We start from the raw sequence: 24,568 nt of genomic DNA on the forward strand, positions 1-24,568 counted from the left end.
TTGTCATTTAGTTCCTAGGTCTTGTGGCCTACATTTTATTTTCTTTATTTAGAGATGTGCAGATGGTATAAAATCTACTTTTTTATAATAAATTCACATTTTGTACCTCTGAAATTTTCCATTCGAGGGAATTTTAAAAAATTGAGATCTGATTTATTCACAATTCTGACGGTAAGCAGAACACTTACTTAATTTAGCAAACAGCTTCCTAAGTATCCTCCCCACATAAATAAAACAAAAAACTAGGGTCTTCAAAGAATATTTCAGTAACAAGAATATAAAAATATTGAATACCAACTAAAGAAGAGCAATAGATATAATATCTTAATATCACTTTTATCCAGTGTAAGACAATTTTTAAGCTTTATTTTTATGAAACATTTCAGATTCCCTCATATCACAGCACATCAATAAGCAGTATGTACATAGACTGACTTTTATAGTACATGTCATGTCCCAAATTCCCAATCCTAGGTAAGATATCAAGTTACAAAATACAAGTGCCGATAATTAAACTATAGGTAGTATATTAAACAAAAATGAGTTTTTAGCAATTATGTGAAATAAGGCTTTAACCAAAGCAAGACTTAATGCCACAAGGTGTCTTTTTTCCCCAAGAGTAATTAATTCAATCAAGCCCATGATTCCAAGCTCAAGTAACAAGTTTTATATTCTTGAAGCAAACAAGAAAAGGCAATCAATGCTTAAGTGGTATATTTTAGTATATATTACATTTCTGGACAATCTCTCATTGCATTCAATTTTTAGAACTTGTCTTGGGTCTAATAAAACAGAAGAATTAGAGAAGAAAGCCCATGCCACTTTGAGGAATGTAACATAATTGTTTTGTCTGGGTACAAAGGTACGTTACAACACTGGGGGTCTTTAGTCAAGTTCCCATACTAATTGACTCACCAAAGCATACTTCCTTCAGCTACAACTGTAATTGGAACACACAGATTTTACCTGAAGAAAATCCTGTACTTCCAGTTTTAAAAAGCAGACAATTCTATGAAGAAGCAACCATTTAAATATCTAACTATACACATTCAAGTTTTTACAACTTCATGCCTTATGAGGAATTTTGATTTCAGAAGTATCATTCCACAGACTCAGCATCATATATTTATACATATTTCATACAGTATAGTATTAGAAACTGTAAATGGCACAGAATAATCATAATTATCACAAAATTTTATCAATTTCCAGTGATCTTAAAAAGACAAATTATAACCGCCTTTGCTCAGCTAAGATATCCAGTTATGGTTACAACTTTCGAAAATCCTAAAGTTATGTGAAAAAAATTAGTCAAAGAAAATCTGTAAATCTGATACTTTCCAATATTTTAAATATGCACAGCTAAAGAGAAAATAAAGGGGTTGATCTGGCACATGAATAATTAAGTCAATGAATTTTACAACCCTGAGCCACTTTGGCAACTACTTTAGGTTTCACATAATTTTCACAGTCTTAGTACCACCATTTTCATTCAGATAAAAGAAATGACCTTTTGAAATCATGGGCATCAAATTTGGTGCTTATGGACAAGAATCACAACTAGAAGCTAGAGACAAAATGGATCACAGCAAGCACAGTTTCCCTCAAAGAATAAGGAACGCTATAGAATATACAACAGCGATAGTTTAGAAACCTTGGGAAGCTCACATTTCTTTAGTTATTTTGTTTTACTAAACAATTTGAAGTAAGCATTATATTCATGTTTAAAAACAAAGCAAGGAAAAATAAAAAATGAAACAAAAATGCAGCATGGAACATTTTAGGAGTCACAGAAGGTTCTCTTCTTCCCTTTGTTTTGGGCACATTGTCTCACCTGTTTTCACTTTGTTACAAAAGGAAACAAAACCAAATCTCTGCTCAGAGTGGTCATAGTGAGAACACTGAGATTTGCATATGTTTTTCTACTTTCCCATCCATCTAGACCCTGAAATCTAAATAAATATTTCAGTTAAAACTTTTTTTCCATTTGCATGAAGTCTGGGTCACTATATCTCCTACCCTGAATGGGGGAAGATGGGACAGCTATATCTCATACTGAAGCGGTGGCAGCTAAAACCTGGCAACTGCTGCCAGTGTCCCCAATGTGTCTTGCTTATTATTTTTTAAAATGTGACAAAGACAAAAGCTACAGCTGGAAACTCACACAATTTAGAAATATGTTGAAAACTTTTATTATAGTCCTTAGGATTTCCAAGTAAATGCTCCCAAATCAAGTATTACAAAGCTGCTAATTAATTAGCAACTGAAAATTAGCCATTCAAATTATATTGGAAATATTTGCTGAATTGTTTTTATGAAAGCTTCCTCTTGGATTCTGTAAGGATCAGAGTATCTGAATCCACAAACCAGCTAGTTTCAAGAAAGAATTCTTTTGACTAAAACTTACCTTAAAACCAATTTTCCCAACTCTTTTCCTTTTCCCAAATAGTCCAACGTTTTGAGGAGAAATATATGAGGCAGGTTGTTTTATACGGCACTGTACCCTTTAGGAAACCTAACATTTCAGTGAACTGGGAAACTTCACAACATAAACTCTATGTATTTATAGATATTATGACTGCTGTATAATATATACTGTGGGGAAAAAAAAAAAGAAGAAAGAAAAGACTAGCCTGGGCAACATGGCGAAACCCCATCTCTACAAAAAATACAAAAATTAGCTGGGTATGGTGGTGCCTGCCTGTGGTTCCTGCTACATGGGAGGCTGAGGTGGGAGGACTACCTGGGCCCGGGAGGTCAAGGCTGCAGTGAGTCGAGACTTTGCCACTGCACTCCAGCCTGTGCGACGGGGTGAGACCCTGTCTCAAAAAAAAAAAAGAAAAAAGAAAAGTTTTATCAAAGGATAAAACCGAAATGCTATAGTATATAGTGTGACCATAATTTCAGAAGAAGAGAATTAGCATAATTTAAAAGGATAGCTAGCATACTATACGTTTTAATAATTCCAGTATTTTTGTTACTTGGGCTTAATTTAACTTATTTTCCTCTTTTTGATTTTTGTATTTTTAAGAGGGCACTTTTAATTTTCAAGTTGTGTTTGAAACTATAGAGTATGCTAATACAACTTAATATAAATATAAATAATATATAAGCTCTCTCTCTGCATATATACACATATAAACAGACCCAAGCATTAGACCACTGATGTTGTACTTTCAGGATTCACACGAATAAGTCTAGATGCATTCCTCAGATCTTGGAGTTGCTTGGCAGGTTTCCCCACACCTTCTTCAAACCTTTTCTCCACCACAGGGAGGACTGTTTCATATAAAAAGGATGCATTCTGTCTGATAAAAGCTTTCTTCTCTGGATCCTGCTCACATCGAAGACTATAATCCACATGCTGAACAGCAACCAAAATGATTTCCACCAGGCTCTCCAAAAGTACCATGTGCAGCTCTGGGAAATACAGCTTCAGGGCCTCTTCCAAGAAGCCCATGGTCTGTTTGGTGAAAGCAACCACTGTGTAACTTAGGTTCACCCAGCAGTCATCCCCTGTGTACTGCTCAAAGTTACTTACCCCACAACTTTTCATCTCTTCTTTGAGCTTACCCAGGGCTTCTGGCGTCATCAAGTTCATCCTCCTCCACATCTCTTCAGAGTTGCGATGTTTAGTGGCTTCAATGATGATTTCTTTGTAACTGTGCAAGGCCCCTTGGATGTCTTTCACCAGAAGGGCATGGATGATGAAGGTGAGATCCAGTCCGATATCACCCAGTTGCTGGCAATGCTCCTTAGCCACTTTTACACACTCAGCTGCTGTAGAGAGGCTCTCCTTACTATCAAACACCTGCTTGCTAAAAGCATCCACGAACATGCCCATGGCTGATCTTGCCCAGACCACAAAGGCAGAGTAGCAGCCGCTGTCAGTGCCTGCAAAATCGATCTCAAATTCTCTTGCAGTCTCGAGAAGGCTGGTAAAGAAGACATGGCACAGCTTATGAATATAGAGTAAAGTGGCACCTTCGATGCGAAGCTGACGAATTGCAGTATGAACAGCGGCTGCCCTGTTTCTCAAAAATAGCTCACAGGCCTTCGTGCACTGGCCCAGCCGGATCAGTTGCGAAACTGCTCTGCGAGTAGCCTTCGGACCACCTCTCAGGGAACGATCTGGGGAGAGTTCGAAAACTAGCACCTCAGTGAGCTGTCGAACTCGCTCCTCCACTTTGGCCCTTAGTTCTTTTACAGGAGGTGGGCTAGGTTTATCTTCCAGGTAATGGTTCAATTTATCCAGCAGGTCAACCGCCCCTTCAAAGTCTCTCTGCGCAATGCAGACATCCAGGTCTTCAGGTAACTCCTGGATCCATTCCATGGAGAGGTCCACCTTCTCTTCCTCTACCTCAGGAACAGCTGGTTCTTCTTCTTCGTCATCCTCAAATGGGTTAGTGGCCTTGGAAGTCACTTGGGGTGGCCCTCGAGGGGCCGCTGCCTCCTCCTGCTCCCTTCGCCTTTTCTCACTGAGGGCCCTCTTGGTGTCCTCCAGCACTTCCAGCCACTCTCGTTTGATTTTAGCATTTTCGGCCTGGAAAATACGGCTCTCGGGGAACATAAGCAGCTTGAACATGTCCTTCATGGGCGGGTTGTCCTTGACATTGACTACGGCCAAACCATCTAGGGAATAGAGAGCGTTGTAGCGATACATCCCACGCCGCTGAGGCAGCCAGGTAGCCACCAACAAGCAATCGTTCATGAGAAAGCCGTGCACCCGCTGCAGTTGGGCCATGTGGTCCGCATCGTATTCCACTAGGTCCCCATTGTACACCAAGTACTGTCCCGGCGTCTCCAGCAGATGCCTGCAGCCTTCCACCTTCTCAAGCAGGGTGGTGAGAGTGCGCTGCTTTCCTTCCTCGCCTGGACCGGAGCCGTCGCGGGAGGCACCCCCGGGGGTGGAGAAAAAGCCGGCCTGGCCTCGGAGGTGGTCTCGGCCCCCCGCCCCACCGACTCCCTCCTCCCCTCCAGAGGCGGCGGCGGCTCCGGCGGCAGCAGCGGCAGGCAGCAACGTAAGCGGGATGCTCTCCAGGCTGCTTTTCTGCTCGGTCAGCAAATGGCTGAGCTGGTACATCTCGCTCTCCAGGTAGGAGATCTCGCGGGCCGTCTCTATGAACTGCCGGTAGTTCTGGTAGACGTTGCGCTTCAGGTTCTGCGCCGTCTCCTCCGCCAGCGCCTGGATGCGCTGCCGGTGCTCCTGGAGGTCCCGGTCCCCATCCGACTGCTGCGAGAGCTGCTTCACGTACAGCCGCGCCTCAAAACCCCCTGACTCCAGCTGCCGACGCAGGCGGCTCGCCCCACTGTCCGACATCGCCATCGCCATTTCTCTCCGGGTCTCACGCACTCACTGTCACTATCGGCGCCGCAGCCGCCGCGGCTGTCTAGACCCACCCAAGGCCAACCGAGCTCCTGGGCTGAGGAAGCAGGAATGGGAACGAGACGAGTACGCCTGCGCCGGGTCTGAGCGTCAGACACTGCGCCTGCGCAAGTGGGCCGAGCGCAGACATTGCGCCTGCGCAGCAATGCCATCGGTTAAAGCGCATGCGCAAGATGAGCTATTGCGGAAGTGAGGGGAGGGAGAGGCCGAGAGAAATTTCGGTACTGCGCATGAACCGAGCGTGACGTTGAGGTTTGAAATAACCGGCAAAGAGTAAAGGCTGAAACTAGCTTCCTGAAAGCTTCGTAGGGCCCGAGCCCTGTGAGCCCAGGTTCTGCGCCCACTAGGAGGTGTCATGCTGACTGCTTTTTTTAAAGCCCTAGAATCTTGGCTTCGGCGTTTGGGGTAAGCTCCGTTCTCGTTCTCAAGCGCGTTTCCGCGAACTCTCGCGGGATTGACGGGCCGTCTCGAGAGCCGGCATCTCCTAGGAGCTAGTCCTGGTCCTCGGCTAGGCGGCTTGGGGTCGCGGCGTAACTGGGGAGCCAGCCTGACGCCGGCGGACCCCGCCTGTGATCCTGGCAACGATGGATGATGACTTGATGTTGGCACTGCGGCTTCAGGAGGAGTGGAACTTGCAGGAGGCGGAGCGCGATCATGCCCAGGAGTCCCTGTCGCTAGTGGACGCGTCGTGGGAGTTGGTGGACCCCACACCGGACTTGCAGGCACTGTTTGTTCAGTTTAACGACCAATTCTTCTGGGGCCAGCTGGAGGCCGTCGAGGTGAAGTGGAGCGTGCGAATGACCCTGTGAGTTCCGAGCCCCGCTGGGGAAAGAGGCGGGACTGGCAGCTTTCCTGCAGCCCCCGGCCCTGGTTTTCTCTCCTTTCTCTAGTCCGACGGTCCCAGGGGGCGTTAAATGAGGGGAGTCTGGTTTTGGACCTGGCAATTCCTGCCTCGGCGTGTTTCTGTCTTCCTTACCTTTTCTCCCACTCGAACAATAAGAAAGCTGTGTAGACCACACCGCCACGGTTGGACTCAGGGCCGTAACAAAAAAGAGATTTTTATTTGAATCTCACTTCACTTGAAAATAACAAGTTCCTGATTTGCCTTATGATAGTGCTGTAGGACCCAGAAGGGAGAAGCAACCAAATCTGCACCTAAGAAAGTGCTGAGGACGCAGAGTAACTGCCAAAGGATGTGTGTTCTCCTCCTCTATTCCCGTTAGGAAACCCACTTTAGTTAGCTCGTGTGTTGCATTGGGGATCTTCAGTGATGCTTTTAAAACGATTCTTTTTCTACACGCTAAATTTCAGAAATCCCTATTTGAAATAATAATCTACTCCTGCACGTGAACAGGGTTAAGTTTAAGATACAGTTGTATCCCAGCATGCTTGTTTTTGAGTTGATAGAAAACAACCTACTGTCAAACAAATTAAGATATGATATTAAATTGTGTTTAAAGTACCAATTTCCTTTATACAGGCGTCTGTTATGATTTTGGAGATATGCTACTGGAGATATCTGCTTGTTAATAACACCGAACTGTAACTTGTCGGAAGGAGACTGGGAGTAGCAGAATAGGATTGCCTTTGAGCTGTTGCAGCCTAGCTAGGGCAAGGGGAGCTGCAGTTGGGCCATGTGGTCCGCATCGTATTCCACTAGGTCCCCGTTGTACACCAGGTACGGTCCTGGCGTCTCTAGCAGGTGCCTGCAGCCTTCCACCTTCTCAAGCAGGGTGGTGAGAGCACGCTGCTTTCCTTCCTTGCCCGGCGGGGATCGGAGCCATCGCGGGAGGCGCCCGCGGGGGTTGTAACTAATTAATTAGGTGAAATGCAAGTATCTGCTAACCAAGGGGGGTATACTTTCATGAAAGCCATCTGCCAACTGAGTTAGTGTGAACTGCCCAAGAATGTGTAAGGACTTGGGCATATTTGGCCAATGTAACACATTTTTATGGTGATTGTTTTCTAGGTGTGCTGGGATATGCAGCTATGAAGGGAAGGGTGGAATGTGTTCCATCCGTCTCAGCGAACCCCTTTTGAAGTTGAGGCCAAGAAAGGATCTTGTAGAGGTATTTTTCGTGTAAACTTGCTTCCTAGCGCAGTAATTTACAAATACTTGTCAATGATTTAGACTGCTGTGAATTCGCCTGTATGTATCGTTAAAAAAAGTCACTTTGCCCTCAGTGAAAGCTTGAATTATGGGGCAAACAATAATGAACACCTTATGTTTTTTATAGTGCTTCATAGTAAAAAAAAAAAAAACAAAAAAAAGGCTTCTAGGGGCCGGGCACGCTGGCTCACGCCTGTAATCCCGACACTTTGGGAGGCCGAGGCGGGCGGATCACGAGGTCAGAAGATCAAAAACATCCTAGCCAACACGGTGAAACCCCGTCTCTACAAAAAAAAAAATACAGAAAATTAGCCGGGCGTGGTGGCCGGCGCCTGTAGTCCCAGCTACTCGGGAGGCTGAGGCAGGAGAATGGCATGAACTGAGGAGGCGGAGCTTGCAATGAGCCGAGATCGCGCCACTGCACTCCAGCCTGGGTGACAGAGCAAGACTCTGTCTCAAAAAAATAAAAGCCTTCTAGGTATATTATCTGTTTTGATTTTACAACAGCCCTGTTTATGTTCATGTGTTGCTGTTTTCATTTTTATGAGTAAAGAAATTAAGGTTCAGAGAGGTTAAGTAACTGGCTTAAGTTACTTATTTAGAAACAGAGAAAACAGGATCCACATGTTCCTGTTGAGAAACACAAATTTTGATTCTCCTCAGTTGGGCTGCAACACTGCTGTGCTCTCAGGACACCTAGCTGAGCTGGCAGCACAAACCAGTGTGAGGGCACGCTTCACATTTAGAGCTGGTACTTACTTCTGCTAGCAGAATGGAGCAGTGGGAGCTGAGGCAGGAGGATCTCTTGAACCCGGGAGGCGGAGGTTGCAGTGAGCCGAGACCGTACCATTGCATTCCAGCCTGGGCAACAAGAGCGAAACTCTGTCTCAAAAAAAAAAAGAAAGAATTATCTGTACAAAAGAGCACAGTGGTAGTTTCTGAGCATGGGGTGGGAAGCATGTTAAAACATGCTTGGAGATGAGAGATGCTGTTTTTAAGGATAATAAAAGGCAATGGATTACATAACAGTGTGAATATACTCAACACTGAACTGTACACATAAAAATGGGTAAGTTGGGGAATTTTGTTAATTTTTTTTACCACAGTTTGTTTAAAAAGTAGCTACTAAATGTAAAGTGGTACAGTAGAAATACTTGATTAATGAAAAAGAACAGAGCTCAGATGATAAAGAGAAAGGTAGGTGTAAACAAAATATCAGTTAAATGTAAGTGGACTAAACACTCCATTAAATACATGGAATGGCATGCTAGATTAAAAGAGACATGCTTACAGTAAAGACACACTTATTTTAAGTTTAAAAGGATGAGGAAAAGTAATCATCCAAACACTTAAAAGCAGAAAACTATTGTGGCTATAAGGTTGAGTACTCATTATCCAAAGTGGGACCAGAAGTGTTTCAGATTTTTTTTTTTTTTACTTTGGAATATTTGCATTATACTTACTGGTTGAGCTTCCCTAATCCAAAAGTCCCAAATCTGAAATGGCTTTAGTGAGCATTTCCTTAGAACTTAACCTTTAATCATCTTGTAAGTGCTCAAAAAGTTTTAGATTTTGGAGCATTTCAGATTTTGGATTGTCAAATTAGGGATGTTCAACCAGTATTAGTATCAGACTAAAGACTTCAAGGGAAGAAGTTTTACTAGAGGAAAAGTGGGATATTTTATAATAATAAAATAATCTATTAAGCAACAATACATAATCTCTCCAAAAGTAATAACATAACTTTAAATTTTATGAGGCATAAATTAGCAGAAGCAAAAAGAATATACAATCAGGCTGGGTGCGGTGGCTCACGCCCATAATCCCAGCACTTTGGGAAGCTGAGACAGGCGGATCACTTGAGGCCAGGAGTTTGAGACCAGCCTGACCAACATGGTGAAACCCCGTCTCTACTAAAAATACAAAAATTAGCTGCGTGTGGTGACACAGCCTGTAGTACCAGCTACTCAGGAGGCTGACGCACAAGAATCGCATGAACTCGGGAGGTGGAGGTTACAGTGAGCCGAGATCACACCACAGCACTACAGCCTGGGGTGACAGAGCAAGACCCTGTCTCACTACAGCCTCAACCTCCCAGGCCCAAGCAATCCTCCCGCCTCAGCCTCCCAAAGTGCTGGGATTACAGGTGTCAGCCAAGACACCCAGACTCATACTTGAAGAATGTTAACACAACCTTCTTAGTAACCCAATGAATAAGCGGAAAAAAATAATACACATTTTAAAAAGTTGAACAGCATGATTAACCAAATCAGCCTTAGAAGGAGCCCTAACTGGAAGAGTTGCTTAATGAATATGTATTGGGTAAATGATTACATAAACACATGAGAAAAAAATGTTTTTAAGTAGTGGGTGAGAAGAGAATGGGGAATGTATAATAGTATCAAGTGAGCATTTCCTGTTGGCAGAAAGTTACAAAATGACATTTTCGTCAATGACAGGCCCCATATATAACAGTGGTCCCATAAGATTATAAGACCATATTTTTATTTATTTATTTATTTTTATTTTTTGTTTTTTGAGATGGAGTTTTGCTCTTGTTGCCCAGGCTGGAGTGCAATGATATGATCTCGGCTCACTGCAGCCTCCGCCTCCCTGGTTCAAGGGATCCTCCTACCTCAGCCTCCCAAGTAGCTGCGATTAAAGGTGTGCGCCACCACGCCTGGCTGATTTTTGTATTTTTAGTAGAGGCGGGGTTTCACCATGTTGGCTGGTCTCAAACTCCTGACCCCAGGTGATCCTTCTGCCTCAGCCTCCCAAAGTGAATGGGATTACAGGTATGAGCCACCATGCCCGGCCAGGACTATATTTATTTATTTTTTTTTTGAGATGGAGTCTCGCTCTGTTGCCCAGGCTGGAGTACAGTGGCGCATCTCCACTCACTGCAAGCTCCGCCTCCCGGGTTCAGGCCATTCTCCTGCGTCAGCCTCCCACATAGCTGGGACTACAGGCACCCGCCACCATGCCAGGCCAATTTTTTGTATTTTTTTTACTAGAGACGGGGTTTCATCATGTTAGCCAGGATGGTCTCAATCTCCTGACCTCGTGATCCGCCCGACTCAGCCTCCCAAAGTGCTGGGATTACAGGCGTGAGCCACCACACCTGGCCAAGACTATATTTTTATTGTACCTTTTTTCTTCTTTATATTTAGTTGCACAAATACTTACCATTATGTTGCACTTGCCTACAGCATTCAGTACAGTAACATCCTGTGCAGGTTCGTTGCCTAGGAGCGGCAGGCTATACTCTATAGCCTAGGTATATATACTCTATAGCCTAGGTATATACACTCTATAGCCTAGGTATATATACTCTATAGCCTAGGTATATATACCCTATAGCCTAGGTATATATACTCTATAGCCTAGGTATATATACTCTATAGCCTAGGTGTGTGTATATATATATATATATTACATAGGCTATACCATTTAGGTTTGTGTAAGTACACTCTTAAGATGTTTGCACAATGACAAAATTGCCTAACAATGGATTTTTCAGAACATATCCCTGCCAAGTGAGGCACAACTGTAGTTACCTAAATCATAGAGAAGGGGGTTCAGAAAAGGAACAGACTTTATCTGGTTGAGGAGGTCAAGAAAAGCTTTATAACTGTACATTTTGTTACTACCATCACCACTCCTGCTGCTCACTATTGAGCACCTATTGTGTGTCAGACTTTGGACTAAACGTCGTCTTTACCACAGCCATGCAAAATGAGGATATCCCATTTTAGGGATGAGGAGCCACTTGGAGCCTGTCCCAGGTCTCATGCTGTGATTGTGGGTTTAGGTTCCAGTTTCCCTGACTCTAAGGCTCTTGTTCTGTCCCCTTTACCATTCAACTCATCACTCCTGCGATTAAAACATGGAGAGGTGAGCATTAAAGGACGAATTGTACTTTTGACAAGCAGAGATAGGACAGGAGGCTACTCTTGGCAGAAAGCATGGGAATAATGTGAACAAAAGTGAGTTCAGACAACTGGGGGCATATTTAGGACTAGAGGTAGTTCATTTTAACCCGATAGAACAGTCATGGAAAACAGAGGTATTTTGGGACTGTGTTGTGTATAGATCCTTGAATTAAGACTAAATATGGAAAATGATAGATATTTAAAAAGTTCAGTACCATTTTCAAGATGTTTTTTAATGTTTAATTAAATTGAACCAAAAATCAGGAACCTAAATTTGTTTCTCCTTTATGAGAATAGATCTTTATCATTGCTCTAATTTAGAACATTGAGAAACTTTTGCAGTACCTTTCTTGAATTTGAGTCTTCTTCGTTGAGCGGCATTTACTTGAAAAATAAAGTTCTGGCTGGGTACAGTGGCTCATGCACGTAATCAGATAGATGGATTGCTTGAGCCCAGGAGTTGACCTGTCTGGGTAAGATGGTGAGACCTTGTCTCTACAAAAAATTGAAAAAAAATTAGCCAGGTGTGGTGACATGCGCCTGTAATCCCAGCTGCTCAGGAGGATGAGATAGAGGGATCCCTTGATGCCAGGAATTTGAGGCTGCAGTGAAATATAATCATGCCACTGCACTCCAGTCTGGGTGAAAAAGTGAGACCCCATCTCTGAGAAATAATAAGATAAATAAATAAAGTTCCTTTTAAGAGATACAGTTGATAATTTTTAGAGGGATATATGAATGACCAAGTTAAAATGTTTGATTCTCTCATTTTTCTGTTCAGCATAATTTTATAAGACTAAAATTCATTAATGACAGTCTAGTTCTTCTGATGGAAATTGTTTTTTAAAAAAATTATGGAGGATCATGAAAAAGGTATGTCTTTGAAGATCTTTCTGATTTTTGCTTAAAAAAATTATTTATATTTTTTAGAGCAAAAACCCCAGCAATCTTAAATGCTTTTGTTAATTTTGCACAGAAACTTGTGCATCTTTGGTGTGGAATGAGCAGTAGGTTTTAGTGTTTGTTTCAAGTTTTCATGATTTCTGAATCAAAACCCAAAAGCTGTAGAAAGCTATACACAAAGATGTCTTGTTCAGTGTCCTCCTCTATCTTGAACTCCTTACTTGCTGTAGGAGCTGTTAGTTTCTTTTCATTTTTCTGTTTTGCAAATATTTCTATTCATTTTTATTCCTCCTCCCCACCATACAAAATTTTTCTTACACAAAATACTATGTACATTCTTCTGTACTTTGTCTTTTTCTTTTTCTTTTCTTTTCTTTTCTTTCTTTCTTTCTTTGTTTCTTTCTTTTTTTTTTGTTGCCCAGGCTGGAGTGCAATGGCATGATCTCGGCTCACTGCAACCTCTGCCTCCCAGGTTCAGGTGATTCTCCTGCCTCTGCCTCAGCCTCCCGAGTAGCTGGGATTACAGGCGCCCGCCACCATGCCTGGCTAATTTTTGTGTGTTTAGTAGAGACGGGGTTTTACCATGTGGGCCAGGCTGGTCTTGAACTCCTGACCTCAGGTGATCCACCTGCCTCGGCCTCCCAAAGTGCGGGGATTACAGGCATGAGCCACTGTGCCCAGCCCCCTGTCTTTTTCATTAATACGCTCTATAGCTTTCTCCAAACCATTTCATGTAGATCCTTCTCATTCTTTTTTGTGGCTGCATAGAATTCCATTATATGGATGTATAAAACACTGGAGTTATTTCTAATCTTTTGCTGTTATAAGCAGTGTCACAGTGAATACACCTTGTGCATATGACCTTGCATGCTAGTCTAGGTATTGCTCTCTCAGAAGACAAATGCATTTGTAATTTTGTTAGATGCTACCAAATTTTCCATAGGAGAATTGCACTCCCACCAGCAGTATATAGGAATGTTTATTTTCCCTTAGCTTTACTAATGGTGTCAAACTTTAGGAGTTTTACCAATCTTGATAAGCAATAAATAACATCCTAGTGTAGTGTTGGGTTTTTGTGGGGGTTTTTTGTTTTTTGAGACAGGGTCTTGCTGGGTTGTCCAGGCTGGAGGTAATCATAGCTCACTGCAACCTTGAATTCATGGCCTCAAGTGATCCTCCCATCTCCGCCTCCTGAGTAGCTAGGACTACAGATGCACAAGCTAATTGTTTTATTTTTATTTTTATTTTTTTGTAGAGACAAGGTCTCACTATGTTGACCAGGCTGGTTTTGAACTCCTGGCCTCGAGCAATCCTCCCACCTCAGCCTCCCAAAGTGCTGGGATTACAGACATGAGCCACCACGCCTGACCATCCTAGTGTAGTATTAATTCGCATTTCTCTTTTTATAAATAAAGTTGGGCATTTTTTCTTTTCTTTTCTTTTTTTTTTTTTTTTTTTTTTTTGAGATGGAGTCTTGGTCTGTCATCAGGCTGGAGTGCAGTGGTGCATTCTCGGCTCACTGCAACCTCTGCCTCCCAGGTTCAAGCAATTCCCCTGCCTCAGCCTCCTGAGTATACTGCTCGGACTACAGGCGGGCGCAACTATGCCCAGCCAAAATTTTTTTTTTTTTTTTTTGTATTTTAGTAGAGACAGGGTTTCACCATGTTGAGCAGGATGGTCTCAATGTCCTGACCTCGTGATCCGGAAGTTGGGCGTTTTTTCATTTGTTTGTGGGTCATTTATACTTCTTCTGTGAACTCCATGGTCTTTGCCCATTTTGAAATTGGGTTGTCATTCCCTGTTGACATTAGGAGCTCCTTGTATATTAGGAATAGCCTGTGATAAGAGTTATACATATATTTTTCTGAGTTTGTCTTTTTACTTGGTGTTTTTTTCCTATAGAATTTTAAAGTTTTGTCTGGGTGCAGTGGCTGACGCCTATAATCCCAGCACTTTGGGAGGCTGAGGCGGGCAGATTGCTTGAGGTCAGGAGTTTAAGACCATCCTTGCCAATATGGCCAAACCCCATCTCTACTAAAATACAAAAATTAGCCAGGCATGGTGGTGCACACCTGTAGTGCCAGCTACTCAGGAGGCTGAGGCACGAGAATCACTTGGACCGAGGAGGCAGAGCTTGCAGTGAGGAGAGATTGAGCCACTGCACTCCAGCCTGGGCAACAGAGTAAGACCCTGTCTCAAAAAAAAAAGAATTTTAAAGTTTTTATGTAGTTGAATTCATTGATTTTTCTGGATTTTGATATATAGTCAAAAAGGTCTTCCTAGAACAGGGAGTTCTTAACCTGTGATTTTCAGAGCTTTAGATGTTACACAAATTTGAGTACCCCTTCTCTGAAATGCCTGGGACTAGAAGTGTCTTGGATTTCAGATTTATTTGGATTTTGGAATATTTGTGTTATTCTTACAGGTGGAGCATCCCAAATCTGAAAATCCGCAATGCTCCAATGAGCATTTCCTTTTGAGTGTCATGTCATTGCTCAAGAGTTTCTGATTTTGGAGCATTTTGGATTTTCAGAGTTGGGATGCTCAACTCATATGCAATATTTTGTGAATGAGTGCTTATATAATTTTTATAGAATGAGGTGGGTTTTTTGTTGTTGTTGTTTTGTTTTTGTGAGACAGTGTCTCATTCTGTCCCCCAGGCTGGAGTGCAGTGGCACAATCACAGCTCACTGCAGCGTCAACCTCCCCAGGCTCAGAGGATCCTCCCACCTCAGCCTCCTGAGTGTAGCTGGGATTACAGGCATGCACCACCACACCTGGCTAATTTTTGTATTTTTTTGTAGAGACAGGGTTTCGCCATGTTGCCCAGGTTGGTCTCCAACCCCTGGGCTCAAGTGACCCTCCCACCTTTGCCTCCCAAAGTGTTGGGATTACAGGTGTGAGCCACTGCACCCGGCCTAGAATGAGTTTTATCAGTTCTGAAGGAAGCCTGTGATACAGAAAAGGTTAGACACCAGATAGAATAAGAAAATTTATATTTTCCAAAGTGTCATACAGACTCTAAAACTAATTTGAATATTTTATGTTCCAGACCCTCCTGCATGAAATGATACATGCCTATTTATTTGTCACTAATAACGACAAAGACCGAGAAGGGCATGGTCCAGAATTTTGTAAACATATGCATCGCATCAACAGCCTGACTGGAGCCAATATAACGGTATAGAAAGCCATATCTATTTATGATGTTTAGTAGTTGTTTATTCAATAACTCCTGAGATTTAATTAAAAGTAGAGAACTAGGTAGAAACAAGTATCTTTGAGGATTTTCCACAGCGAACGAGAGGCCTAGAGAAGCAAATTGGCTTGTCTGGGACTACATGGTGGAATGGCAGCAGAGCCAGTGATATCCCTGAGGCCTCTGACCTCTTCTGAGTCAACATTTTACACACAGGTAATTCAGGCCTGCAGTACGTCACTTCTGGAATCATCATGATCTCTTAACTTTGTTTCCTTATTATTGTCTTTTTTAGTCCATCCTGTATCCTGCTACCATTGCAGATGTCATTCCCTCATCAGAATTCTTCTTTGATTCATATCTCTGTATAGCATTGTAGGAGATAGCAAAGCCTCAGGTTCAAAAAGCTGGAGGCGTCAGGCTGCTTGGATTCAAATCCTGGCTCCACCAATTATTAACTTTCCTATGCCTCATTTTATACCCATGGCAAATGAGAGTAGTAACAATACCTATCTGTTGGATCCTTGTGAGGAGAAAGGATTAAAGGAGAAAGCACATCAAAACATTTTAGCCCAATCTGACACTAATTAAATATTAGTTTTATTGTATTCATTTTATTAAATAACCTTGTTCCTTTTTTACTGCCTCCAACTCTGCTGCCTGTGTCCTGTCTCTTTAACTGCACTTTTGACCTCCCTGCCTTTCCTCAGGTGTAGCTTCCCTGAGGCGTGCCACTGCTCTGTTTTGTGTCCGAATGCTTTTCATCGTTCCAGTGGCATCTCATTTCTCCCTCTTTTGAATCCTCAGCAGATATTTAAGCTATTACAATTTTTTATGCTACTTTCATACTTTTGAACGCAGGGTAGGTCTTGCCCATCTTTATAGTACATCTGTATAAGGTGTATAATGTACTGAATTGAATATTAATAGGATAGATTAAATTCTTTCTTATGTTTGGGTATTTCCTTCCTTTAAAAGGCAACAAAATCCACTGTGATAGAAAATGAACAGTGCTCAACCGCCATGTTTTGTTTATTTATTTATTTAAGATAGGGTCTTGCTCTGTTGCCCAGGCTGGATGCAGTGGTGCATTCATAGCCCACTGCAGATTCAACCTCCTGGGCTTAAGTGATCCTCCCACCTCAGCCTCCTGAGTAGCTGGGGCTACAGATGTGTGCCACCATGTCAAGCTAATTTAAAAAAAAATTTTTTTTTTTAGAGACAGGGTCTCACCATGTTGCCCAGGCTGGTCTTGAACTCATGGGTTCAAGTGATCCTCCCATCTCAGCCTCCCAAAGTGGTGGGATTATAGACATGAGCTACCATGCCTGGCCTCTCCATGTATTACTATTTTCTAGCTATCAGTTTTAATTTTCTAAAGACTTCATTTCATTATTAGACACAGTTACTTCAACATTAGGAAAGTGTCTTGCAGTTTTTAAAAAAATCAGACATAAAATCCGGGTTAGCAAGAGAATTATAGACTTGCTTGTATAAAATACATTAAGTTTCTTAACCAGAACTTATACTTTAAGCAAAGCCCTTGTATACGTCCCATTGTTCAGCTGGAAGAGTATCTGTTCTTTTATCTTAGATATCTGTGTGTTTTTATTTAGGAGAGGTTGTAAGGAGTGAACACTCCTTGCTTTTACAGGTTACATCCTGTTATAAGGAACTCTGCAGGGTATCTACATTGTAGAGTAATTTTATTTTAGTGACTACATTGTTAAAAGTCACATTCCCAAGCGTTAGGAGTTACAGGAATTGGAAGCAGAACAGATCCAGGCTGGGTGTGGTGGCTCACGCCTGTAATCCCAGCACTTTGGGAGGCCGAAGTGGGAGGGTAACTTGAGCCCAGGTGTTTGAGATCAGCCTGGGCAATTTAGTGAGACCTTGTTTCCACAAAAAAAATTCAAAAATTAGCTAATCGTGGTAGCTCACGCCTGTATTCGCGGCTACTCGAGAGGCAGAGGTGGAAGGATCACTTGAGCCTGGGAGGCGGAGGTTGCAGTGAGCCAGGTTCATGCCACCTCACTCCAGCCTGGGCAAACAGAGCAAGTCCATGTCACAGAACAAACAAACAAAACAGATCCATTTGTCTCTCTTTTTGGGTAATGAATTAAGAGTTCTGAACATAATAGAGTGCGTGGTTTCCCGTGCTTCTTTGCCTTAAAACCTATGTCCTTCAGTCCCTTCTGCATTTAATATAATGTGCATTCTTTGCATGCTTACCAAGTAGAAATTTTTTGCTTAGGATGGAGCGATAGTGAGTTTAAAACTATCTATAGAGTTATAGAAAGCTTAGCATTCTTTCCCACAAGGGGAATTTATTAGAAAGCTAAATGTCTTTGGTAAAACACCAAAATCTTACATACAGATGCTTCTCACTCTTACACAGAGAGTTCCACTGAGAAGGCAGAAGAATAAGGTGCCCATAGTCATTTAGGAGTCATTTCAAATGGTGCTCTATAGTCTTCAGTGCCACCATGCTGGGAGGGCTGACCCTCTTTTCAGTCAGGTCTTTTCCCTTACCTGTTTTCTGCTTGGGTTCCAAATAGGATTTTTGTCTAGAGGGTGAAAAAGAAGGCATCCTACTTAAGGCCTGAAAAGCACACTTCAGAGAATTTTATTTGACTCAATGAATGATGCTTTTCTGACTGAGCACCTTCTTGGTGCCAAAAGCACTATATTAGCCACTAGGGACACAAAAAATTAAAACATTCAGATCCTGGAGAACTTTTCAGTCTGGTAATAGAAATATTTATAAACAGATAAAATGGTACCTCATAAGGCTTATTACAGAGACATAAGCACAGAACTTGGAGAATGTGGAGAGTGAGCTTAGCAGAAGCTTCACTGGGTAAGATACTTGTGTTGTTAGCGTCAGTCAGGCATTTATAGGGAGTAATGTAGTCCTTTAGAACCCTTTGCTATTTTTACTTATAGGGAAAACTTCAATTTAGCAGTGGGAATGATTCTTATTTTAGTATGGTATTACATAAAATCTTATCTTTATCCTAATTTTTGATCATTTACAAATTTGATTTCTGAAACTTTTAGTGTTCATGAAGATTTTCTGTGGTTTTGTTTTTAAAAGATTTTTTTGTCCTCTAATCCCATGTGCATCTATCTTTACACAGTTTATGAAGTATTAACTGCTGCTGTTTCCCATTAAAATCAACTTTTGAACAGAAACTAAATATAGTTGCTTTCTCTCCTAAAATAGAACTTTTCAGAAAGCTCTGGGAAAGTTTCAAAAATTAAAAAAAAAAAAAAAAAAAAAAAAGACTGCTTATGTAAATTGTTTTCTTGCAGTTGTTAACTTGCTTATTGAATACTAAAAATTCTGTCTCCACTCAGGTATACCATACTTTTCACGATGAGGTGGATGAGTATCGGCGACACTGGTGGCGCTGCAATGGGCCGTGCCAGCACAGGCCACCGTATTACGGCTATGTCAAACGAGCTACTAACAGGGAACCCTCTGCTCATGACTATTGGTGGGCTGAGCACCAGAAAACCTGTGGAGGCACTTACATAAAAATCAAGGAACCAGAGAATTACTCAAAAAAAGGCAAAGGAAAGGCAAAACTAGGAAAGGAACCAGTATTGGCCGCAGAGAATAAAGGTACCTTCGTGTATATTCTTCTGATTTTTATGTGACCATAGCTATGATGTAAAGACAATACTGTCCTTCAGAGAACTGGTATTAAGATAAACTTAAGGATCGTTTCTGGTGTAGAAGTCTTCAAGTGTAGACTTAAGGAAAAAATCCCACTGTCCATGAAATGATGGTAGGAAAACAGACTTTGCTCTGTACAGAAGTAAGTAAAAGTAGGAATAGTTTCCATGGATATTTTTATTTTTATTAACTTTTTTCAGTTTCTTTTTATTCAAAGAAACAAAATTCAATCTCTGATAATATTTGAGGTAAAGTTCCTTTCCCTATCTTGACTCACTGAGTTATTAGGAAACAGAAGGCAAAAAGATTGTCAAAATAAAAACAATAATTCAAGTAACAATGCCCGGAATATACGTCCTAACTACACCCCTTCCTATCAGCTGGATTCTATCCAAGTGACTCTATTGATGTATGTATGTTCATTCAAAGAATGGGAAAAGGATATGACATATATTTGCCAGTACTTCATCTTCAAGATTTACCCTTTTCCTGTGAAGTTCAGAGTTACTGAAGATGCTTCTTCCCTTGGGAAGTTGTTGACCCAAGAACATAGGTTATATTTCCCAAATCTTTAATTATTGAGTGAAAGAGCTATAGATGAATTGATATGGAAAGACCGTATCTTCATTTTCGTGAGTAGAAGGAAAGATAAGAATGAGGCAGCAGATTTTCCCTCCTGGAATTACACATAAAGGACACTAAGCAATTTTCAAGGTAAATGTTGCCTTGTTGTTGGTCTTTGGCATGATAAGATTCTTTATTTAAATATGAGAGAATTTTTTTTTATCCTTTATATTCTCTCAATATCAGAACTCCTGAATTCTGAAGATTGCCCTCCTCCCATTAATAGGATTGTATGGATGTAAGATGGAATAAAATACTAGTTCTTCATTTTGAGAAAACTGTACATTAGTTTAATGTTTGTTACTGTATTTCTTTTGAGTTGAGGCACTTACATAACAATCTTCTTTGCTTTTTTGGCAGATAAACCCAACAGAGGTGAGGCCCAGCTAGTAATCCCTTTTAGTGGGAAAGGATATGTTCTAGGAGAAACAAGCAATTTACCTTCACCTGGGAAACTGATCACTTCACATGCCATTAATAAAACCCAAGATCTTTTAAATCAAAACCATTCAGCAAATGCTGTAAGACCTAATTCTAAAATCAAGGTGAAATTTGAACAGAATGGTTCAAGTAAAAATTCTCATCTGGTCTCCCCTGCTGTTAGTAACAGTCACCAAAATGTTCTAAGCAACTACTTTCCTAGAGTATCATTTGCCAACCAAAAGGCTTTCAGAGGTGTGAATGGATCTCCAAGGATAAGTGTAACAGTTGGCAACATCCCTAAAAACTCAGTCTCTTCTAGTTCTCAGAGAAGGGTTTCATCTTCTAAGATATCCCTAAGAAATTCTTCAAAAGTAACGGAATCAGCATCTGTGATGCCATCCCAGGATGTGAGTGGGTCTGAAGATACATTCCCAAATAAACGACCTAGGCTAGAAGATAAGACTGTTTTTGACAATTTTTTTATCAAGAAAGAGCAAATAAAAAGCAGTGGTAATGATCCAAAGTATAGTACAACCACAGCTCAGAATTCCAGCAGTTCATCCAGTCAGAGCAAAATGGTTAATTGCCCAGTTTGTCAGAATGAAGTTCTGGAGTCTCAGATTAATGAGCACTTGGACTGGTGCCTTGAAGGTGACAGCATCAAAGTCAAAAGCGAAGAAAGTCTTTGAAAAAGGTTTCAAAGTCTCAAGTACCACCTGTATTATCTCACTAATGTGCTATGTCAGCCAGTCAGGAAGTTCTGGTTAATACTAAGATTTGTAGGTTATAATCTAGTTCACATAACCAATAGAAAGTGTCCTATTTTATATATACGCATATAAGATTGTAATTTTAAGATGTTTTGTGTCTCAGGGTGCTACATTCACTCTTGCCTTAGGTATACTGTAACCCAGGTTCTGCCTGTCGTGTATAAGTTTTAGATACTTTTGTTCTTTCTTGCTCTTAAGGATTTTAAAAACCTGTTAATCTTTTTATTTGTATACTTTCCTAAAAATATTCATATGGGGAATCCTGTCAGGTGTTTGGTTATATTGACTATTTATTAATAGTATTAGAACTCATTCCCTGAACTGATGTAAATCTTCATAGTGTCAGACATACTGACCAAAACCACAATCTAGACTACAAAGTATATTGTTTTAGAGTACTCAAATTGTATTATTTATTAATTTTTTTGTTTGCAAAATCTTAACAGGAACTGTATTTTCTATATTTTAAAGAATTTTATTTGTCCCACTTTTACTAAACAGTGGCAGCAGATTTTAAGTTAAAGAATATGGAATATAGTAAAATAAGTAAATTTCTTTTGGAATATTTTTAGTAACAAATAGCCACTATAATTCTGTAGGCCAAATTTTATATTGAGTTTAGCTGTTTTCTCAAAATTTAGCAGAGTGGTTAAAATTCTGTGCTGATAAGTAACTGATACATATAACATAAACATAACAAAGTTGCCTAGTTGATGTAACAGTGGAAAGTTATCTGGAAATAGTATTTTGAACTTTAAGCCAAGTTTAAAACATTATAATAAAAGGAATACCATTTGTGCATTTTAAGTAATCTTTTTTAAAAAAAATATTTTCCATGTTATAGGGAAAGGACAAAGAGACTTTTATCAGTTTGCTTTTTGTCTTGTGGCTGTACATGCTGTTGGCATAGCCCTAACACAGTTGTTCACAAGTTTTCTTTTTTCTTGTTGCAATTTTCCTTCACTTTGTTGTAATACAGGTGCACAAATCTTAAGTGCACAGCTGGGTAAACTTTTACAGTGTTCACCTGTGTAACTACCACCCGGATCAAGTTAGAGAACACTTCCATTGCCACAGAAGGCTTCCTATAGGTGTCTGTTCCCAGTTGATACCCATGACCCTCACCACCTCCAGAGGTCCCCACTGTTTTCACCCCATCGTCGCAGATTATTTTTTAATTTTATAATGTAGTATCTTTGTTCCTATGTATAGCAGGAGTTCATTTTCATTGCTCTTGCATTTGTATGAATATACTAGAATTTATTCATCCATTCTAATGTTAATGGACATTTGAATTATTTCCAGTTTGGGGCTGTTAAGCATAATGCTGCTAAGAACATTCTTATCTTTTCTGTTGGGTATATATACAGGAATGGAATTGCTGAGTCACGGGGTATATTTCTGTTTAGCTTTAGTAAATTCTGCCAGTTTACACTCCTACCAGCAATGTATGAGAGTTTTAGTTGTTCACCATTCATAACACTGTTAGCAGCCCTTTTCGTTTTAGACTGGTTGGCTGTTCACAAATTTTGATATTCCTTAAAGCATTAAAACATTTTAATAAATACTTATAAATAGGTATTAAAATGTATATTATGTTCAATATATAGTTATATTTTCATAGAGGATCATTTCTCTAAATGAATGTAACAAATTATGTGTAATTAAATGCTTCCTGAGCCAAAACCACACAAGGTTCTGGGGCTGTGAAGTAGCTGAGATGGTCCATGTCCTCAAGGAGCTTTACAGCATAGTTGGGGAGTAAGACAAATGCACATTAATCTCCTTAGAGTTTGCTAAGTGCTATGACAAGGGTTTTTGCTGGGTGCTGTGGGTAAACTGTAGGAAGAAAAATTAGCTCTGCCCAGGACTTCGGGGGATGTTTCTTGGAGGAGACAACATCCAAAGTTGAATCATGTAGAGTGAGTCGAGTTAGCCTGGTTAAAGAAGGGTGGGGAAGAACCTTTCAAAGGGAAGAAGGAACACAAAGTCATGTTCCGAGGGAACTGAATGCTATTCCAAGTGAATAGAGTAAAATGTGAGGGGCAAAATGGCCAAAGGAGAGATGGCAGATAGGACAGATCTAGCTAAGTAGTACAAGTTTGAGGCCAGGGATCTCATGTTCCTCACTTTATGTCTGGTTTGTGTGATACCTGCTAATAAGCATCTCTTAATTAAGGTGGGGCTTGGAAAGGCTTATAAGCCAGTCGAGGACATGTTGAGAAGTGTTTCCAATGGATTTTTCTGGGGACAGCATAGATAAGAGGGGGAAGGGTAGTGGCAGGGAGGGAGAGGAAGAGACAATTTTTTGAGAAACAGGTAGTAAAGTCAGGAGTTGGTTTCAGGTTCTAGGGAATGATGGAAATAGTTGAGAAAATGGAACTCAATTTGAAATAAGCCTTACTACATCTGTTAAACACTTGAGAAAATTTGCACCCTAAAAATTCTGATATTCCCCCAAATATGTCATTCATAATAGAGACATAGTTTTGTTTCTGTTTAGATTTTCCCTTTTAAAGCCAACTTCCCAACTTAGAAGCAGAGCTGGTAATTCTGGCTCAATCCTTAAATGCTATCCCCCTGCTGTGGGGACATGGGGTCTAGATTCTGTTTTTATAAAACGGTGGGTTTTGGGTTTTTGTTTTGTTTTTTGAGATGGAATCTTGCTCTGTGGCCCAGGCTGGAGTGCAGTGGCACAATCTCGGCTCACTGCAACCTCCGCCTCCGGGGTTCAAGCAATTCTCCTGCCTCAGCCTCCCAAGTAGCTGGGATTAAAGGCGAGCGCCACCACACCTGGCTAATTTTTGTATTTTTAGTAGAGATGGGGGTTTCACCTTGTTGGCCAGACTGGTCTCAAACTCCTAACCTCAAGTGATCTGTCTGCCCTCGGTCTCCCAAAGTGCTGGGATTACAGGCGTGAGCCACCATGCCCTGCGAAAACAGTGTTTATTTTAAGGTCAGTGTTATATGTTACCTAGCCTTAATTTTTACTTTAGAAAATTGTGCTGGGCAGCCGGGCGTGGTGGCTTACGCCTGTAATCCCAGCACTTTGGGAGGCCGAGGTGGGCGGATCACGAGGTCAAGAGATCGAGACCATCCTGGCCAACGTGGTGAAACCCCGTCTCTACTAAAAATACAAAAAATTAGCCGGGCGTGGTGGCAAGTGCCTGTAATTCCAGCTACTCGGGAGGCTGAGACAGAAGAATCGCTTGAAGCTGGGTAGCGGAGGTTGCAGTGAGCCGAGATTGTGCCATTGCACTCCAGCCTGGGCAAAAAGAGCGAAACTGTGCCAAAAAAAAAAAAAAATTGCACTGGGCATGGTGGCTCACGCCTGTAATCCCAGTACTTTGGGAGGCTGAGGTGGGTGGATTACGTGAGATCGGAAGTTTGAGACCAGCCTGGCCAACATGGTGAAACCCCGTCTTTACTAAAAATACAAAAATTAGCCAGGTGTGGTGGCATGCACCTGTAATCCCAGTTACTCAGGAGGCTGAGGCAGGAGAATCGTTTGAACCCAGGAGGCAGAGGTTGCAGTGAGC

General features: G+C 41.3%; 2 protein-coding genes across 5 annotated transcripts, besides 8 other annotated features; one reads left to right on the top strand and one right to left on the bottom strand.

Moving 5' to 3' along the window:
* On the bottom strand, window positions 340–5,439 carry EXOC8 (exocyst complex component 8). Its single transcript, NM_175876.5, has one exon. It carries the CDS (start codon window positions 5,330–5,332, stop codon window positions 3,155–3,157), a length of 2,178 nt encoding a protein of 725 aa, NP_787072.2. The 5' UTR covers window positions 5,333–5,439; the 3' UTR covers window positions 340–3,154.
* Window positions 4,741–5,616: an enhancer, noted in NCBI's record as "OCT4-NANOG-H3K27ac-H3K4me1 hESC enhancer chr1:231472900-231473775 (GRCh37/hg19 assembly coordinates)". NCBI's record gives its function as "activates a minimal SCP1, AML or CMV promoter by ChIP-STARR-seq in primed H9 embryonic stem cells {active_cell/tissue: H9 hESC(primed)}" and the evidence as "EXISTENCE:reporter gene assay evidence [ECO:0000049][PMID:30033119]".
* Window positions 4,874–5,043: a silencer, noted in NCBI's record as "silent region_1950". NCBI's record gives its function as "represses an Ori minimal core promoter by ATAC-STARR-seq in GM12878 lymphoblastoid cells {active_cell/tissue: GM12878}" and the evidence as "EXISTENCE:reporter gene assay evidence [ECO:0000049][PMID:35858748]".
* Window positions 5,164–5,213: an enhancer, noted in NCBI's record as "active region_2726". NCBI's record gives its function as "activates an Ori minimal core promoter by ATAC-STARR-seq in GM12878 lymphoblastoid cells {active_cell/tissue: GM12878}" and the evidence as "EXISTENCE:reporter gene assay evidence [ECO:0000049][PMID:35858748]".
* Window positions 5,254–5,313: an enhancer, noted in NCBI's record as "active region_2727". NCBI's record gives its function as "activates an Ori minimal core promoter by ATAC-STARR-seq in GM12878 lymphoblastoid cells {active_cell/tissue: GM12878}" and the evidence as "EXISTENCE:reporter gene assay evidence [ECO:0000049][PMID:35858748]".
* Window positions 5,617–6,491: an enhancer, noted in NCBI's record as "OCT4-NANOG-H3K27ac-H3K4me1 hESC enhancer chr1:231473776-231474650 (GRCh37/hg19 assembly coordinates)". NCBI's record gives its function as "activates a minimal SCP1, AML or CMV promoter by ChIP-STARR-seq in naive H9 embryonic stem cells {active_cell/tissue: H9 hESC(naive)}" and the evidence as "EXISTENCE:reporter gene assay evidence [ECO:0000049][PMID:30033119]".
* SPRTN (SprT-like N-terminal domain) lies at window positions 5,880–22,610 on the top strand. 4 transcript variants are annotated; one of them, NM_032018.7, is made up of 5 exons: window positions 5,880–6,191; window positions 7,356–7,455; window positions 15,384–15,512; window positions 18,891–19,158; window positions 20,197–22,610. In NM_032018.7, the coding sequence occupies exons 1-5, from the start codon at window positions 5,971–5,973 to the stop codon at window positions 20,946–20,948; spliced, it is 1,470 nt and encodes a 489-aa protein (NP_114407.3). In that variant the 5' UTR covers window positions 5,880–5,970; the 3' UTR covers window positions 20,949–22,610. The 4 variants fall into 4 exon arrangements, with proteins under 4 accessions (NP_114407.3, NP_001010984.1, XP_006711881.1 ...); NM_001010984.4 differs by having other exon boundaries at window positions 18,891–22,610; XM_006711818.4 differs by lacking the exon at window positions 15,384–15,512.
* Window positions 5,894–6,093: an enhancer, noted in NCBI's record as "active region_2728". NCBI's record gives its function as "activates an Ori minimal core promoter by ATAC-STARR-seq in GM12878 lymphoblastoid cells {active_cell/tissue: GM12878}" and the evidence as "EXISTENCE:reporter gene assay evidence [ECO:0000049][PMID:35858748]".
* Window positions 6,492–7,366: an enhancer, noted in NCBI's record as "NANOG-H3K27ac-H3K4me1 hESC enhancer chr1:231474651-231475525 (GRCh37/hg19 assembly coordinates)". NCBI's record gives its function as "activates a minimal SCP1, AML or CMV promoter by ChIP-STARR-seq in naive H9 embryonic stem cells {active_cell/tissue: H9 hESC(naive)}" and the evidence as "EXISTENCE:reporter gene assay evidence [ECO:0000049][PMID:30033119]".
* Window positions 7,115–7,164: a silencer, noted in NCBI's record as "silent region_1951". NCBI's record gives its function as "represses an Ori minimal core promoter by ATAC-STARR-seq in GM12878 lymphoblastoid cells {active_cell/tissue: GM12878}" and the evidence as "EXISTENCE:reporter gene assay evidence [ECO:0000049][PMID:35858748]".

The sequence above is a fragment of the Homo sapiens genome, chromosome 1 (genome assembly GCF_000001405.40).
Source record: "Homo sapiens chromosome 1, GRCh38.p14 Primary Assembly".
NCBI lineage: Eukaryota > Metazoa > Chordata > Mammalia > Primates > Hominidae > Homo > Homo sapiens.

What these genes read in the sequence shown, in the direction of transcription:
- EXOC8 (NM_175876.5), bottom strand. Translation starts at nt 5,332, where the DNA reads ATGGCGATGGCGATGTCGGACAGTGGGGCGAGCCGCCTGCGTCGGCAG.
- SPRTN (NM_032018.7), top strand. Translation starts at nt 5,971, where the DNA reads ATGGATGATGACTTGATGTTGGCACTGCGGCTTCAGGAGGAGTGGAAC. An exon ending in TGGAGCGTGCGAATGACCCT is followed by an intron (nt 6,192 to 7,355) that starts GTGAGTTCCGAG and finishes ATTGTTTTCTAG; the next exon opens with GTGTGCTGGGATATGCAGCT. An exon ending in ATTGGCCGCAGAGAATAAAG is followed by an intron (nt 19,159 to 20,196) that starts GTACCTTCGTGT and finishes CTTTTTTGGCAG; the next exon opens with ATAAACCCAACAGAGGTGAG.